This window comes from Homo sapiens, chromosome 11 (assembly GCF_000001405.40).
Source record: "Homo sapiens chromosome 11, GRCh38.p14 Primary Assembly".
Taxonomy (NCBI): domain Eukaryota; kingdom Metazoa; phylum Chordata; class Mammalia; order Primates; family Hominidae; genus Homo; species Homo sapiens.
This window is the reverse complement of record NC_000011.10, coordinates 100,711,803-100,729,462: the sequence shown is the minus strand read 5'-3', so window position 1 is coordinate 100,729,462 and position 17,660 is coordinate 100,711,803. Positions and strand designations below refer to the sequence as shown.

The following is a 17,660-nucleotide window of genomic DNA, read 5'->3' as shown; positions in this document are numbered from 1 at the left end:
TCCAAAACTGGGCCAAATTCACAACAGAAGCATAATCTCCTCAGCTGGTAGCATTCACAGTTTTCTTATGCTTTAATTTTCAACTTTGTGATCTACAGGTTTCCTTTTGCCACACAAAATTTAGATATATTAATTAATATAAATTAATAATTACTAAATTGTATAATTTCTTAAAATCAGGATTCAGGGTTTATATCTACTCAGTATGTTTATCATACCACTTTAAAAAAAAGTGACATCCTTTGGCCATCATACTAATTAAATAAACAAATACATATCTGTATATTTTGTTAAGAGTAGCCTAAAAGTAAATGGTTTGGCTAATCAAGAGAAAGCCCACCACTTTATTTTCTGACTTTGTTACTGAAAGTTAAGAGAGAGAGAGAGAGACAGAGGCTGCGTGCAGTGGCTCACACCTGTAATCACAGCACTTTGGAAGGCCGAGGTGGGCAGATAACCTGAGGCCAGGATTTCAGGACCAGCCTGGCCAACATGGCAAAACCCCATCTCTACTGAAAATACAAAAGTGAGCCAGGCATAGTGGCCCATGCCTGTGATCCCAGCTACCCAGGAAGCTGAGACAGAAGAACCGCTTGAAGCTGGGAGGTGGAGGTTGTAGTGAACCGAGATCACGCCACTGCATTCCAGCCTGGGAGACAGAGTGAGACTCCATCTCAAAAAAAAAATTAAAAAAGAAAAGTGTGCATATATATATATATATATATATATATATATATATATATATATACGCAAAGTCATTCATATAATTTCACTTACTCAACACTTATTTAGATCCATCGTGAACCTAACACACTGCTTCATGTTAAAGATAGTTTTCTACTCCTAAGGAGCTTATAATGAGGAAAAGAGGAAAGTAAACAATTGCAATTGCATGGTGTAAGTGCTACAATTATTCCTCAAATAGAGGGGAAAGAGCCAGCCAGCAACCATATCTGAGAGGATGAACCAGAAGGCTCCAGAAGTCCCCAACTTGAAATAGCAACTCTACAGTCTTCAGTGTTACCGTCTCTTGCCCAAGGCATCTTTCTCTCTCTCAGGGGAAGACTTTCTAGTCAGTAAGCCCCTGGCTAAACTGGAAAGAACTGGAATTTTTATTCCTAAGACTCAGCTTATAGGTGCCCAATCATCATACAATGTAGGCTGCTTCAATCCCACCCCTTTTGCAGGTGGGAGCACAGGTGTGGCCTTTTCGATAGCCAACTGCTTGATTAAGGAGATTCCATCCTAGCAGGCTTGCTGTTGAGAGGTTTCAGTAAAATCTATGTCTTTCTTCTTAGGAGGGAACAAAATTCACCAACCAAGCTGAATATAGGAAAAACCAACTGTGTTTCTCTTCTATACTCCCACACTCAGCACTTCAGTGAGCAGAGGTGTCAAGTTTTTTCCTTTCACCAACCAATTCTCCAACACCAGCTGGGTGTCCTACAATTCAATTGAATTCCGATACCAACCAGGTTTAGCACAGACCCCACAGTTTAGGGGCTCACTCCCACAAGACTGCCCTGCACTTCAGATGCCAATCACAAGTAGTAGGGCCTTAGGTTATCCACACTTCTGTCCGACTTGGCTACAAATCAGAGGTTCCCACAAACCATCCTCAGGTTCAATAATTTGCTGGAGTGTATCACAGAACCCAGGAAAGCAATGTATGTACTACTGTCGATTTATTACAAAAGGTATTTTAAAGGACACAAATAACCAGATGGAGAGGTACATAGGGTGAGCTCCAGAAGAGTCCCAAGCTTCTGTCCCTGTGGAGTTACAGGGCTCCACCCTCCCAGCACGTGGATGTGCTCAGCAACCCGGAAGCTCCCGGAACCTCATAGTTCATGGAATTGTATAGAGGCTTCATCACGTAGTCATGTTCTATTATTAACTCGATCTCCAGCCCTCTCCCCTTCCCAGAGGGTGGGGGTGGAGCTGAAAGTTCAAGGCTTCTAATTGTGGCGGACTCTTTCCGGTGACCAGCCCTTATCCAGAAGGGCACCAAGAGTTATCATAGGAGAACAAACGATGCTCCTATCACCCAGAAAATTCCCAGGAATTCACCACTATGTCAGAAACAAGAGTCAAAACCAAATATTAGAACAGAAGATGTACCCAGCACCCTTACTGCCCATGAAATTACAAGGGTTTTAGGAGCTCTGCCTCTGGCAGAGGCCATATATATATTTAAATTATATCACATATGCAAATTTCATATTTTAGCATTTATTTGCACATATCAAAGTGCAAGTGCATTAAATGATGGTTTTCCAAGTTTGCTGCACAAAATCACTTCAAATCAAACTATTAGAAAAAGAAAAACTTCAGAATGAACAATAATAATTTCTTCATAGCCTTCATTTCTTTCATCTATGGCTCTTCAAACACATGACAGCAGGTGATTTTCACGGATCCCCAGGAGGAACAGAGGAATTGTAACCAGCAAGAACTTAAATCATTCCCCTCAATCTAAAAAACAATTCTGCAGCATTCCTCAACTTTCAGGACTTCCCCTAGGATCACCTCACTTCCCTGTTGGAATCATGACTTCAAATTGAGCAAGGTTAGATGAATGCCAAATGAAGCCCCACTGCTATGGATGTAATTGCAAAAAGAAAGCACCACAGAGAAGTTCACCCAACTGAGTGCAGCCACTTAAGAGAAAGTAATTCCAATCACCTCCACAACTCAGATGGCAACAGCTCAGTCATCCACTCAAGGAGCTGAAATTATACAAGGCTTCCCTAGTGGGATTCTATAATGACTTTTTGGTAGTGCTCCATGTAAATTACAGATATGAAAATACAGCTCCCCAAATAACATGACTTTCTTTTGCAAACAGACTAGATTTTTCTTAAGAGTAAAATAAGTTTTCGTCCTTTGAAATTTGCATTACATAGTTCTAAACAAAATGGTAACTGTCATTGCATTTATTTGCTTACACATAAAAATGTACCCAGGAATATACCTTTAATTCAAAACAATTATATGCCACATAGCTGAATTTGGGTTCTATTACCATTATTGAACAATAGCAACCATTTAATGGGTACTTACTATGTGACAGACGCTGAGTTAATTACTTTACTTCCATTATCTCAATTATCCTAACCCATCAGCACCACCAGTATCTCCACATGTAATACAAAATAGAGCCAGGATTCAAATTTACATCAGCTGTATTCCAACTCCCTTGCTTTAGACTTGGGGATTACTTTCTGAAAAGGGCAGAATCCGAAAGCTTGCTCGTTACATCTCTTCTTTTGTCCAGAGTACATCACTTTAATGTAATATAACATTACAACCTTTTATTTTCATTTCTTAACTCTGCCTGCAGTTAATTCTCTGTTCTAGTAACTTTTTTTTTTTTTTTTTTAGAGAGACAAGGTCTTTCTCCCAGGTGCAATCACAGCTCACTGCAACCTTGAACTTCAAGGCTGAAGTGCTCCTCCCAGCTCAGCCTTCCAAGTAGCTGGGACTACAGGTACGCACCACCATGCCTGGCTTTTTTTTTTTTTTTTTGAGACGGAGTCTCACTCTGTCCCCCAGGCTGGAGATCAGTGGCGCGATCTCGGCTCATTGCAAGCTCCGCCTCCCGGGTTCGCGCCATTCTCCTGCCACAGCCTCCTGAGTAGCTGGGACTACAGGCGCCCGCCACCATGCCCGGCTAATTTTTTGGTATTTTTACAGAGGGGGTTTCACTGTGTTAGCCAGGATGGTCTCGATCTCCTGACTTCGTGATCCGCCCACATCGGCCTCCCAAAGTGCTGCGATTCCAGGCGTGAGCCACTGCGCCCGGGCCACCTGGCTTTTTTTTATTATTATTTTTGTTTTTTTAAATTTTTGGTAGATACAGTTGCCCGCTCAAACTCTTGGCCTCAAATGATCCTCCTGCCTCAGCTCCGAAAAGTGCTGGAATTACAGGCGTGATTCTCCATGCCTAGCCGTAATTCTTAAGTCATGAATAATTCACCAAGATTTTGGTCACGGCTGGGCGCGGTGGCTCACGCCTGTAATCCCAGCACTTTGGAAGGCCGAGGTGGGCAGATCACAAGGTCAGGAGTTCAAGACCAGCCTGACCAACATGGTGAAACCCCATCTCTACTAAAAATACAAAAATTAGCTGGGCGTGGTGGTGTGCGCCTGTAATCCCAGCTACTCGGGAGGCTGAGGCAGGAGAATTGCTTGAACCTAGGAGGCAGAGGTTGCAGTGAGCTTAGATCACACCGCTGCATTCCGGCCTGGCTACAGAGCAAGACTCTGTCTCCAAAAAAAAAAAAAGGAAAAATATTTAAAAGCAATAAAATGGGCGCATAAGGGAGCAAATAGAATTATATAAAATCCAAAAACACCAGGAGATTAAATAACTTACTTCAAAAGGACATACAGGTCGTAGAAATCTCCAAAGAAATTTAAAAATATTTTGAGCTAAATAAAAATAAAACTTATAAAAATTTTGGGGTGTAACAAAAGCAGTGTTTAGAGGGAACTATTTAGCAATAAATGCATATAGTAGAAAAGCAGAAAGGTCTAAAAGCATTAATTAAGCTTCTGCCTTAAGAAACTAGAGAAAGAAGAGCAATATAATGCTAAAGCAAGCAGCAAAAAAATAAAAAAAAAGAAATAAAAAGTAGGGCACAAACCAATAAAATTGAAAATGGAAAATTAACAGAGGAAAAAAAAATCAATGAAACCAAAAGCTGGTTCCTTGAAAAGATTGATAAAATTAATAAACCTCTAGCTAGGCTAACCAAGAAAAAAAAAATAGTAAAGACCCAAATATCGGAAATGAAATCAGGGTTATCACTACTAATCCCCCTGGGTACTGAAATGATAATAAAGAAATACTATAAACAACTCTATGCCTACAATATGAAAACTTAGATGAAACTGAACCAATACCTTGAAAGATACAAACTTTCAAAATTCACCCAAGTAGATAATCTGAATACATCTTTATCTTTAAAAATAATAATAATAACTAAAAACCTCCCGAAAAAGAAAGCACTAGGTGCATACAGTCTCACTGGGAATTCTACCAAACATTTAAAGAAAAAATTAAACCAATTCTCCACGAGTTCTTACAGAAATAGAAGTAAAAATAATGCTTGCTAACTCATTCTATGAGAACAGTATTACCCTAACAACGAAACCAGATAAAGACATGACAAAAAAGGAAAACTACAGACCAATATCTCCCACGAACATAGAAATAAAACTCCTCAACAAAATACTAGCAAATCGAATCTAAGAACTGTTTAAAAAATTACCCCCCACCAAGTGAGATTTATTATAGGTATGCAAGGCTGACAGAACATTCTAAAATCAATTAATGTAGCCCATAATATCAACAAGCTAAAGAAGAAAAATCTTAAGATCATATCAATAAATGCAGAAAGAGCATTTGAGATAAATATATACAAGTTTCATTGTCAATTAAAATTAAAAAGTTAAAAGAGTTTGAAAAACATTTAACAAAATCCAACACCAATTCATAATAAAAACTCTCAGCAAATTAGGAAGATTGACAGGAAGTTCCTCAATTTGATAAAGATGATCTACCAAAAACCTACAGCTAATGTCATATTGAATAGTGAGAAACTAGATGCTTTCTCCATAAGATTGGGAACAAGACAATGATATCCCTCTCACCACTCAAATCCAGCATCATACTAAAAATCCTAGCTAATATAAACAAGAAAAGGATATAAAGAAATACAAATTGTGAAGAAAAAAAAAGTTTTTGTTTACAGATGACAAGACTGTACATGTTGAAGATCCTAAAGAATCAACAAAAATATTCCTGGAACTAACAGCAAGGTTTCAGGATACAAAGCTAATATATAAAAGTCAATGTCTTTCCTATATCAGAAATGAAAAGGTGGAATTTGAAATTTAAAACTCAACATCATTTACATTTCACCATAAAGAAAAAAAAAGAAATACTTAGGTTTAAATCTAACAAAATATATCTAAGATCTATATGAGGAAACCTCTGATGAAAGAAAATTTTTAAAGATTTAAATAAATGGAGAGATATTCTATGTTTCTAGATAGGAAGACTTAATGTTGTCAAGGTGTCAGTTCTTCCCAACTTGATCTATAGATTGAATGCAATCCCAATCAAAATCCCAGCAAGCAGTTTTATAAATATCAACAAAGCTGATTCTGGAGTTTACTGAAAGGCGAAGGATGCAGAGTAAGCAACAGTATTGAAGAAGAATAAAGTCAGAGGACGGGCATCACCTGACTTCAAGACTCACCATAAATCTAAAGTACTCAAGATTGTGTGATATTGGTAAAAGAATAGAAAAATAGACCAACAGAATAAAATAGCCCAGAAATAGACCCATAACTGATCTTCGACAAAGGAGCAAATAAAATATAATAATGCAAAGACAGTCTTTTAAACAAATGATGCTGGAACAACACGACATCCACAAGCAAAATAATAAATCTAGATATAGACTTCACACCCTTTACAAAAGTGAACTCGAAATGGATCACCGATCTAAATGTAAACACAAAACCATAATACTCCTAACAAGATAACCTAGTATTATTATAAAATCTAGAAAACTTTGGTTTGGCAAACCCAAAGTTAGATATAACACCAAAAGTATGATCCAAAGAAAAAACTGGTAAGTTGCACTTCATTAACATTGAAAATGTCTGTTCTGTGAAAGAAACTGTTGGGAGAATAAAAAGCTGTAGACTGGAAGTAAAGCTTTGCAAAACATATGACGTAAACGTTAAATACACACAATAAAATTTGCGCGGTGGCTTGCGCCTGTAATCCCAGCATTTTAGGAGGCCAAGGCGGGCGCATCACCTGAGTTCAGGAGTTCGAGACTAGCCTGGCCAACATGGTGAAACCCGTCTCTACTAAAAATACAAAATTACCCAGGCATGGTGGTGCATGCCTGTAATCCCAGCTACTCGGGAGGCTGAGGCAGGAGAATCACTTGAACCTGGGAGGTGCAGGTTGTAGTGAGCCAATCGTGCCACTGCACTCCAGCCTGGGCAACAGAGCGAGACTCTGTCTCAAAAAAAAAAAAAAAAAGTAATAAATTTTTTTTAAAACTTTGCAAAACACATATCTGATGAAGGACTTATATCCAAAATATACAAAGGACTAGTAACATTCAAGAATAAGAAAAACAACAACCCAGATATAAAAAAGGCAAAAGATCTGAACAGACAACTCACCAAAGAATACATAAGGATGGCAAAACAGCGAATGTAAAGATGCTCAATGTTATATGTCATTAGGAAGGTGCAAATAAAACAACTATGAAATACTACTATTTACCCATTAGAAGCACTAAAATCCAAAACACTGACAGCACCATATACTGGCAAGGATATACAGCAACAGGAACTCTTACTCATTGCTTATGGAAATGCAAAATGGTACAGCCACTTTGGAAAAGTTTGGCAGTTTCTTACAAAGCTAAACATACTCTTATAATATGATCCAGCAACCATACTCCTCAGTACTAACCAAAATGAGTTGAAAACATTATGTCCAAACAAAATCTGCTCACAAATTTTTATAACAGCTTTATTCAATATTGCCAAAACTTGGAAGCAACCAAAATGACCTTCAATAAGTGAATGGATAAGCAAACTGGTGTACATCCATATAACATCATATCATTCAGCAATAAAAATGAATAAGCTGGCCAGGCATGGTGGCTCATGCCTGTAATTCCAGCACTTTGAGGGGCCAAGGTGGGCAGATCACCTGAGGTCAGGAGCTCGAGACCACCCTGACCTACATGGTGAAACCTTGTCCCTACTAAAAATACAAAAAATTAGCTGGGCGTGGCGGCGGGTGCCTGTAATCCCAGCTACTCAAGAGGCTGAGGCAGAAGAATTGCTTGAACCCGGGAGGCAGAGGTTGCAGTGAGCCAAGATCACGACACTGCACTCCAGGCTGGGTGACAGAACAAGACTCCGCCTCCAAAAAAAAAAGAAAAGAAAAGAAATAAGCTATCAAGTCATGGAATATGCATTTAAGATGGAAGAATCTTAAATGCATATTGCTAAGTGAAAGAAGTCAGTATGAAAGGGCTATACATTGCATGATTCCAACTGTATGACATTCTGGGAAAGGCAAAACGATAGAAGCAGTTTAAAACAAAACAAAATATCAGTGGTTGCCCTGGGTTAGGTGAGAAAAGCACGGGAGAGTTGTTAGGAGAAGAACAAGGGAATTGAAGGGTTATAAAACTATTCTACATGGGACTGCAAAGGTAGATACATGACATTGTGCATTTGCCAAAACCCATCCAGTTGTAGAACACAGAGTGAACCTCAGTGTAATCTCTTGACTTTAGTTAAGAATAATGTATCAATATTGGTTCATTTATTTTAACAAATGTACCACACTAATGCGAGATGTTAATAGGGGAAACTTGACTTCATATGTGTATGGGGGCAGGGAAGAGGTGGGTAATATTGTAATTCTGTATTATCTGCTCAGTTAAAAAAAAAAACTTAAAAAAATTCTGTATAACTATAGAATCTAAATAAGTAAATGGAAGTTCACCATATTATTCTATTTTTAAACCTCAGTGAGAAGTATATGGTAGTTCTTTTTAATATTCATTTTTGAGTACGTTTGAAAATGTTCATGGTAAAAACAGTTAAATTTTTTAAGAAAATAAAAGCCTAATAAGGACCATGTATATATGTATATTTTAAACTTTTAAAAGCAATATGTGTTCAATGAATATTACATGTCAATGTTAGGCTCTCAAAAAAAAAAGGTTATCTCAACCAATACAGTCATATACAATTAACGTTAAATATCCTCATTTTAAGTTCTTGGGGTTTTTTGTTGTGGTGTTTTCGTTTTCAAAATACTCTTGAAGACACTGAATCTAGCCATATTTTCACTTTTATATGACTGGACTTTTTTATCTTGGGCCTTTTTCCCCCATGAGAACAAAACCAGTTGTTATTATTAAATATTATTATTGTATAAACAGTACTGAAACATTAGAGAAAGTTTGGAAAATAGGACAGAAATAATTATATTCCCACCATCAGGGCAGTCATTTGTATGAATTCTTTTCCCATTTTTTTCCAACATTATCAACAATCATTCATAGGAACAACTTACATATGGAATCCCACCTTAAACTTTTTGCTTTAGGTTTTAAACAAAATAATCCATTTAATTCTGCCAGATCATCCAGTTTCTGGGCAATCAGTAAAAGGCTGCTGAATTGAATTAAGGAGTGACTTACTGGATTTTCCCATCTCACATACACCAGGCCATCTACGTGAATAACCACCACGGTGTGCCTTCTGGGGCAAGTTTCAGCACCAGCAGATTCTCTATTTAGGAAAACCTAATTATCTAGCCTATAATCTAACCTAGTGATCTAGCTCCAAAGCAACAATGGTAAAAGCTACAAATGTTGACTACGGTGCCAGATCAACTAGGACATGATGACTCAGCCAATAGCAGGAATTTGGCACCAGCCACATTCAGCAGGGGAGGCAAGGTTGGGGGTGAAACTACAGCCTGGAAAACTGCCTAGGATACAGAAGTAGTAAATAGCCTTGCTGCTAAGCACTCTCTGCTGCTTCTTCTCTCTTTTCAAGCACACTTCTCTATGAATGTGTGAAGGGGCTTCATTTTTCTTCCATGTAAAACAACAGGCTCAGGATGTGCAATATCTGAAAGACAGGAAGAGCCGGTATAGCCAAGAGTATCCTTTTGCTGCTCATTTTACCACCTGTCATTTTGAACCTGCACACACAACACACACACACACAATAAAAGAAAAAAAGGAAAGAGAGAGGCAGAGATATGGGTGAGGTCACCTGTGAGTTAGTGAGTAGATACCAGAACCTGGATGCAAATGTGTTTGCATCACAAATCTGACCTCCAGCTTGCTGCCAAGTGCAGGCAGACAACAAGCTAAGGAAAATGCTAATAAGTAGCCCACAGAAGGCCAGCTGCTGGCTCCTACCGGACTTGATCACTTAAGGTCCTCTGAATCCATCTGTTTGTTTGCCTAGAGCTTTTCCCCTTGCTGCCATGGAGACTGATGTTAAATAATTATCATGGCCAAAACTTCCAACAGAGCTCAAAGTAGATACATCCTCCTGTTACAGTCTTAATCTGCAGTAAAATCCTCACCTAACTTGAAAGTTATCAATTAATATTCAGTTGTTTTCTCCTATTATTTGACTGGCCAATATTTCAGCAAAAAGAAAAAGACAGTATCTAGTGGTGAATGAAGAATTAGGAAGCAAGAAATGTGAATTCGTTTAGCTGTGCCTGACATTTTTAAATTTATCTACCACTAAATGCTCTTATTCTAAGTTTTTCAATTAGTCCAATGTTCTTTCCAATATTTTCCCAGTAATCTATTTTCTTTGAAGGATGATTGGTTCTTCCAATCTATTAAGGAATTGTATTCAATAAGGTACATAAATCATGAGGTATAGTGAAGCATCACAACCTTCTCTTCCTTTCTCCATCACAAATACCATTCATTAGAGAATACTTTAAAGCTTGAATAAAATAATATGAAATCTATCAAATGCAATACATATTTAAATAAGTCACGTTAAATAAAGTACTGAACCATTACATAAACAAGAAACTAATTTACATGATAATTTACTCAATATAGGATTCACTTTTTTAGTAATCTGTGCATTTAATATACATGAAGGGAGAAATTACTATGTGAGAAATTAGTCTAAGTGAGAATTTACTCTGTGAGAATTAGTAAAAAATTACTATGCACCACATGGTAGATGATTCCAGTTTAATTAAATTCTTGTTCAGAAATACACTTTTATTTTACCATTTGAAATCCATTTCCCTACCTATATGTAACTTTAATTTTTCTATTCGTGGTGTGTTTGAGTCCTTGTCCAATTTATTTATCTTCAAACTTTGCAGGTTGGCATTTTGCTGTTTCAAATTTGTTTATCTGAGTAAATCTTCCTTTTTTCTGACAACCAAGCTATACTCCTCCAAAAGTCTGAAATATTCTTAATAGAACAAAATTAAAAGACATGGTTTATGTCAAAGGCATGCATTTGCACAGAAAATATCTGCTTTCATGAACTAAATAAATTCTTTCTTGACCTTAGTATCAGATGCTAGATCCAGTGGCTATGACCACCTTCAAGAGCTATTCACAATGGGGCTGGCCAAGTTCTACCTTGAAGGGCCTCATAAGACCTATAAAATGTGTCTCATGCCACAAACACTGTGACCTCCAAACCATCTCTCTTCTCCAAGTGATCTGTCCCACATACCTTTGGAATAAAAAGTGAATCAGGCTTCACTATATACATGCTAGAGACACACACCTGAACTCATAAGATAATGTACCTCAATTTTTTATTTTGACCATGACTCGCAGTAATAACTACATTTTCAAATCTGATATTGTATCCTCATGCATGTGTACTTATAAAACAGAAACAAGTTTCATTAAACAGCATTTGCCTTTAATACACTGAATACACTACGGTGTCTTTTTTTTTTTTTTTTAAGGCAGAGTCTCGCTCTGTTGCCCAGGCTGGAGGCAACAGTCCACTGCAGCTCACTGCAACCTCCGCCTCCTGGGTTCAAGCCATTCTCCTGCCTCAGCCTCCCGAGTAGCTGGGATGACAGGTGTGTGCCACCACGTCCTGTTAATTTTTGTATTTACAGTACAGGCAGGGTTTCACCATGTTGGCCAGGCTGGTCTCGAACTCCTGACCTCTATTGATCTGCCAACCTCAGCCTCCCAAAGTGCTGGAATTATATATGGAATCTTTTTTTTTTTTTTTTTTTTTGAGACGGAGTCTCGCTCTGTCGCCCAGGCTAGAGTGCAGTGGCACAATCTCGGCTCACTACCAGCTCCACCTCCCGGGTTCATGCCATTCTCCTGCCTCAGCCTCCTGAGTAGCTGGGATTACAGGCGCCCGCCACCACGTCCAGCTAATTTTTTGTATTTTTAGTAGAGACGGGGTTTCACTGTGTTAGCCAGGATGATCTTAATCTCCTGACCTTGTGATCCGCCCGCCTCGGCCTCCCAAAGTGCTGGGATTACAGGCATGAGCCACCGCGCCCGGCCTATATATGGTATCTTTTTTACTCAATTTTTTTTCTAATAGTAGTTCAACTTACTACATTGATTTCACCAACCCTCTAGGGTCACAAACCACTGTTTGAAAACCACTGGAACATTTGAATATATAATATCCTACGTGAGAGAACCTGAGTGCCAGGACAGAATACTCAGGCCAGTTCATGCAGAGTAAATACTAAATCCACATCAAGTTTGAATTATCACTCCTTCCCTTCTTGCATGAAACAAAACCAAGACTGCTTCTCCGTGGTTTCCTTTTTTGAATTTATCCTCTACGTAACCAGAGCCATCCTCAGATGATAAATGTTTAGTGATGTGTGTTATTCAACAGATGTCTAAGCTGTTGAAATCCCCTATGAATACTTAATTCTGTAGCTTTAAGTATCTCAAGAGCTCATCCTGGAATTTTCCTCTCTGGCCCTCCTTCAGTCAAGGGGCTCTGAATTGATACCCAAGGTCTTTGCTTATTTATTATTTATTTTTGCTCCACCCAATGCATTCATTCTCCAAATAACCTAAAGATAGTTTTTAATTTAAAGGGGGTCAGAGGTTCCTATCCTTCCTAAAATCTCTCACAAGACTTATCCTACAAAAAAATATTTTTAATTAATTTCTTTTTTGCAGACTTGCCTACCAACAAAATAAAACTACTGAAATTTATATTTTTAGCATATTTTTACGGTGAAATTCAAGTCATTTTCTAATAATACTGTCGTCCTCCTAAGAAACATGCTTTTACCCTATACGATATAAAACCACAAAAATACAGTTGTATTTCACACAATAAACATACAAGTGAGTCCAGAGAAAGAACTGATGCTTCAGAAATTGACAATCAGTAAATTTACTAACTAGAAAACTATTGGTTCGTTTTCTGAAGTACTCAATTTCATTATCTTCATTAATTACCAACAGCATTTGTTTGACACGGAATCCACTGGTTGTTTTGTTTTTTGGTTTTAACTTATAATTAAATTCTCGTGTTTCAATTATCTAAGCTTAAAAACGTCCTTCACAGTGAACCACAAGCAGGTCTTAAAATGTGCAGTGGTATGTGCTGCATTGCTGTCATGGCCTGTACTCAACACATGATGATTCTGCACCCCCAAGGACCCAGCACAATTCAAGGGGCAGAAACCACAGTGAATCAAATATAGGATAGGCAAAAGTCCCCATGAAGCTTACGGGATAGTTTAGGCTAACTTTCAAAACTAACAGTACGTGTTTCCCAGGTCTCCCCTCGTTTCTCATTTGTTAACTGCTATCATTTTAAAAATATACCAATTTGTCAGCCCTGTTATGAAGATTATTCATTTCTGCTTCAGTGCTGTCCCTGCTGCCCTGTACTGCCAGACTGTCTTCCTACACCAATCCCATCAGTAGATATCTCCCTCGAAGACACGCTGACTGCAGTTCCTCCAATGACTTCTCAACCATCTGAAACCATCCACGTTAGTTCTTTTCACATATCTGTATTATGTTTCGTTGTAAGCTTCCTAAGAATATAAATCATTGCTTCCTCACTCTTTTATAAGGCCCCTAATGTGAAGTAGAATACAGTGCACCAGTATCAATCCCTGAGAGGGGATTACCACACACCAATATCAATCTCAGAGGAGGATTCTAAATACCTCGCCAATACTATGCACCAGTATCACTCTCAGAGGAGGACTCTAAAGCCCTCATGAATGTCTACTAAAGTCTATCACTGACAGGAGGTTTTTACACAAGCTCAGTTTTGCACATACGCCAAGGATGAGTCTTGTGAGACAGAACACTGTCACATCAAGTTAAGCAAAGCAACTTTATTACTCACAGACAGGCAACAAGAAGCAAGAGAAGCCTAAAATCCATGGCAAGCCAGTCCCCAAGTGTCAGGAAAGCTGCCTGGGAGAAATGAAGTCTTTTCTGTGCATGCCCCACATCAAACTGCAGCTGAAACTATTCCACTCTAGGTTTTATACTCCAGGGGATACTAGATTCACTGGGTTAAACCATTGCAGGACATCCTGTTCTACAAAGGACAAGGACAAAGTCTGGGCTGTTCTGGATAGTTCCTAAGAAGTTAACTAGAACAGGAAATGAATGCGTAGGGAGATCTCCCTCAAAGGCAGAATACTTCTTCCACCAAGTTTTAAGTTTTCTCCCAGCCCTACATATTTAAGGACAGAAAGTTACCCTTATTCCCCAACTGCAGACAAAAGCTAAAAAACTACACAAGGGTATAATTAATTTGAGATACAAAGTAAACCTGGTTTAAATAAACTTTTTTTTTTTTTTTTTTTTTTTTTTGAGATAGGGTTTCACTGCATCGCCCAGCCTGCGGTGAAGTGGTGCAATCACAGCTCACTGCAGCCTTGACTTTCTCAGGCTCAGGTGATCCTCCCACCTCAGGCTCCTGAGTAGTTGTGTCTACAGGTGTGCACCACTATGCCCAGCTAATTTTTGTATTGTTTTTGTAGAGAGAGGGTTTCGCCATGCTGCCCAGGCTGGTCTTGAACTCCTCGGCTCTCGAACTCCTAGGCTGAAATGATCTACTCACTTCAGCCTCCAAAAGTGCTGGGATTATAGGCGTTACCACTGTGCCTGGCTAAATAAGAATTCTTTAGGTCTATCTGTTGTAGTTTAACCTGATGAAAGAGAATTGGAAAAGCCTGACCAAAAAGAATCTGAAAAGCCTAGCCAGATATCTCTACGCTAACTGATGTCTACTACCTCTCCATCAGGTCCAAGAACTAAAAACTATCCCGAGATGTTAGAGGGCTGGCTGTCACATGTGCTCAACAAAATTCTTTTCACACTGGAATTTCGGAAGTCCTTTCCCATTGGTTGTAGAAGAAAGATGAGGCATCCCATCAGCTCTGGAAGTTAGGGTTAGTGGGAATGGCTGCTTCCAACAGCACTGAAGTATCTCAAATACACACACACACACACACACACACACACACACAAATTTTTATGTTTTACATGTAAGTGAACCTAAAATTCAATTCCCTGTTAGCCCTTTGAAATGTTTTTATAAAGTTTAGTAGAATTAGGAATATGAAATGTCATTAACAATAACCTTTTCACATTGCAACATTTAAGAATTGACTTGACAGGTAAATACATTTTAGTCCTCTTTAAACAAATCATTTCATAGTCTTTAGATCATATAAAAGCTCTGCTAAAAAGATTTTCACAAAAACAGGATTTCAGAAATTTTTGCATCATTCTGCCCATTACGGTTTACTCATGATTTAAATAACAGAAACTGCAGGATACTGATACCATATTACAAAACCATACCTATTCAGAGTGGCCAGACAGAGCCCAGTGGCCAAAATTCTTGCCTTAAATTATTTTTTTTCTTTTTAATTCAGCAAAAGAACAGAAGAGATGATTGTGGCATAACAATTTTGTAAGAAAGGATGACTGATAAATACAGTAAAATTCAATCCACATTAGAAATACAAACATATGGATCACCAAAGTAAACAAAATGCAACGAATTTGCTCAAATATAAGCTTGATCCGAGAAGGCAATGAATACAGCAGGCCACATAAGAGTAATAATTCCAAAAAAACAAATTTCTGCAGATCCCCTAAAGAAATCTCTAAAGGATAGCCAATAACAATGTTTTATTATACCAAATTCCTTTTGGGTAAATACCTTAAAATTTCCATGTATTTTTTAGCAGAAATTAAAGAGAAACCAAATTATTTTTTTTACTCGGTCATTTATTTTAGCTTAAGTATGTCCCTCCCTAGCATGATGCTTAATCCACATTAGGTGACTAATAATTAGCTGAAAAATGAATTAATTTAATTATCACAATAAACCTGTGTGGCAAAGATAGTTATCCCATATTTAAAATAGAGGAAACAGCCTCAGAGAGCGCTAAGAACTTGCCCAAGGTTGTAGGTTGTACAGAGGATCAGAGGATCCATTCCCAGGTTGGTCTAATCAATGGCAGATCTTACAAGACTGTAGCAGTTTGTTTCATGATTTCCAAGTCTCAAATTTTCTCCTTTCAACTTTGACCCATCTGCCTCAATATCTGTGACTTCAAAGACAATAAGGACATATTTTCCTATGAGGGACTGTCACAGGAATGAGATTTGTTTCTAATAGTATATAAAACATTACAAAAGATATTAAACTCACTATAGGTTCTCTACTTAAACCTGTGCCAGAAATGTATTCTCAATAATCTTAAAACCTAAATCTGTTTTCCAGGAGAACACTTATGGTTGTTAATACTAGTTATGTCTTAATGGGAACACCTGGTATAATTAATTTGTCCACAAAAACCACGTGCTTACCACAACCAAGTAAGACAACCCAGACTTGGATATGTATATTTTATGATATTTTCGATATGTCATTTCTAAAGGAATGAAAAGAGGCACTGCTCAAAGATAATTGGATAAAAGGAGAGAAAGCAAATTAAATAGCCAGACATTGGAGGTAGGAAGGCAGGTAGAGAAAGGTTGTGAAGACTAAAAACTAAGGAAGTTGCTAGCAAATTATTTACAGAGTACTGTTCATGGATTGAAAAAAAATGTAGTTAAAGAGTAAAGACTTTAAAAAGACTGTATCTATTCCAGCTTCTACCTGATCAATTCTCAGTAACTGGCGGGAGCTTCAGAACTCATTAACTCCTTCCCTCACCCTCACACAAACACACGCACATGCATACTGAAAACCCACGTGCACTCTGGAGAATTACACCTGCAAAGCTCAGATAGAAGGACAACCAGGAGGTCCCTCCCTCCCACCACCTGCCACTCAGTTCTCATTAACTTCCCTTATCCCACTTCTGGGGGGAGAAGGGGGGAGGAAGAAAAATATCTTTAATATCACCACCCTGATACATTTTGCACACCGCATTTCTTTCTGCTATATTTTACTAATTTTTTTCACAGGCAATTTTTTTCATATAATAACAGTAGCATGTAACAATTCTGTACTTCGCTTTTCTCTTAGATTTATATCAGAAGAGTTATATTTAATTGTCTAGATAACTAATTTGGTAAACTTTATTAGCAATCACTTAAGTCATTTCTAATTATTTTCTATTATAAGTAAATTCTAATTATTTATACAGGTTAAAAGCACAGTTCCCAAACTGCATGCAATACTGCAGCGAACTCAAAGGGGTGCTGTGTGACTCAACTAATTAGTACTTACCCCCAACCTGGGTAGAGGTGTGTTCCCGAAAAAACTCAAGGTTCCTTTAGAAAGGAAGAAAAGGCAAGGGAGCTGGGTAGGCAATCAATATTACCTGCTGTAGAAAGAGTATCATAATTGAGATCACGAAATCAGTGGGTACAAACCCTTTAATGTTCTTGAAACATATTACTAATTTACAATGCCATAGGGAGCATAATGAAAGTTAGAGTCTCAGTACACCTTTAATTAGCCAAAGATATTATTTTTACATCTTTTAGCTAATTAATTAGATTTAAACAATTTACCTTACTCTCATATTCATTTGCATTTCTTTGACTCCTGGTAAAGGTGATTATCTTCTCATAGGCTAACAGCTGTTTTCA

At 37.9% G+C, this 17,660-nt stretch overlaps 1 protein-coding gene across 3 annotated transcripts in view, besides 3 other annotated features; it reads right to left on the bottom strand.

The window, feature by feature from the left end:
- ARHGAP42 (Rho GTPase activating protein 42) overlaps window positions 1-17,660 on the bottom strand; it is a 306,654-nt gene that overhangs the window by 264,479 nt on the left and 24,515 nt on the right. Inside the window, exon 1 of one of the 3 annotated variants that reach the window (XM_011542616.3) lies at window positions 13,939-14,055. The exons of the other annotated variants lie outside the window; for them this stretch is intronic. The gene's annotated coding sequence lies outside the window, so the exon portion shown is untranslated. Of the gene's footprint in view, window positions 1-13,938; window positions 14,056-17,660 lie in introns of those variants that run through there. 3 annotated transcript variants of the gene reach the window in all.
- Window positions 2,957-3,836: an enhancer, noted in NCBI's record as "NANOG-H3K27ac-H3K4me1 hESC enhancer chr11:100596358-100597237 (GRCh37/hg19 assembly coordinates)". NCBI's record gives its function as "activates a minimal SCP1, AML or CMV promoter by ChIP-STARR-seq in naive H9 embryonic stem cells {active_cell/tissue: H9 hESC(naive)}" and the evidence as "EXISTENCE:reporter gene assay evidence [ECO:0000049][PMID:30033119]".
- Window positions 2,957-3,908: a biological region, named in NCBI's record as "NANOG-H3K27ac-H3K4me1 hESC enhancer GRCh37_chr11:100596358-100597237".
- Window positions 3,739-3,908: an enhancer, noted in NCBI's record as "experimental_18414 CRE fragment used in MPRA reporter constructs". NCBI's record gives its function as "activates a minimal promoter by MPRAs in K562 erythroleukemia cells, with activity observed for both the introgressed and non-introgressed 11:100596371 variant alleles {active_cell/tissue: K562}" and the evidence as "EXISTENCE:reporter gene assay evidence [ECO:0000049][PMID:34662402]".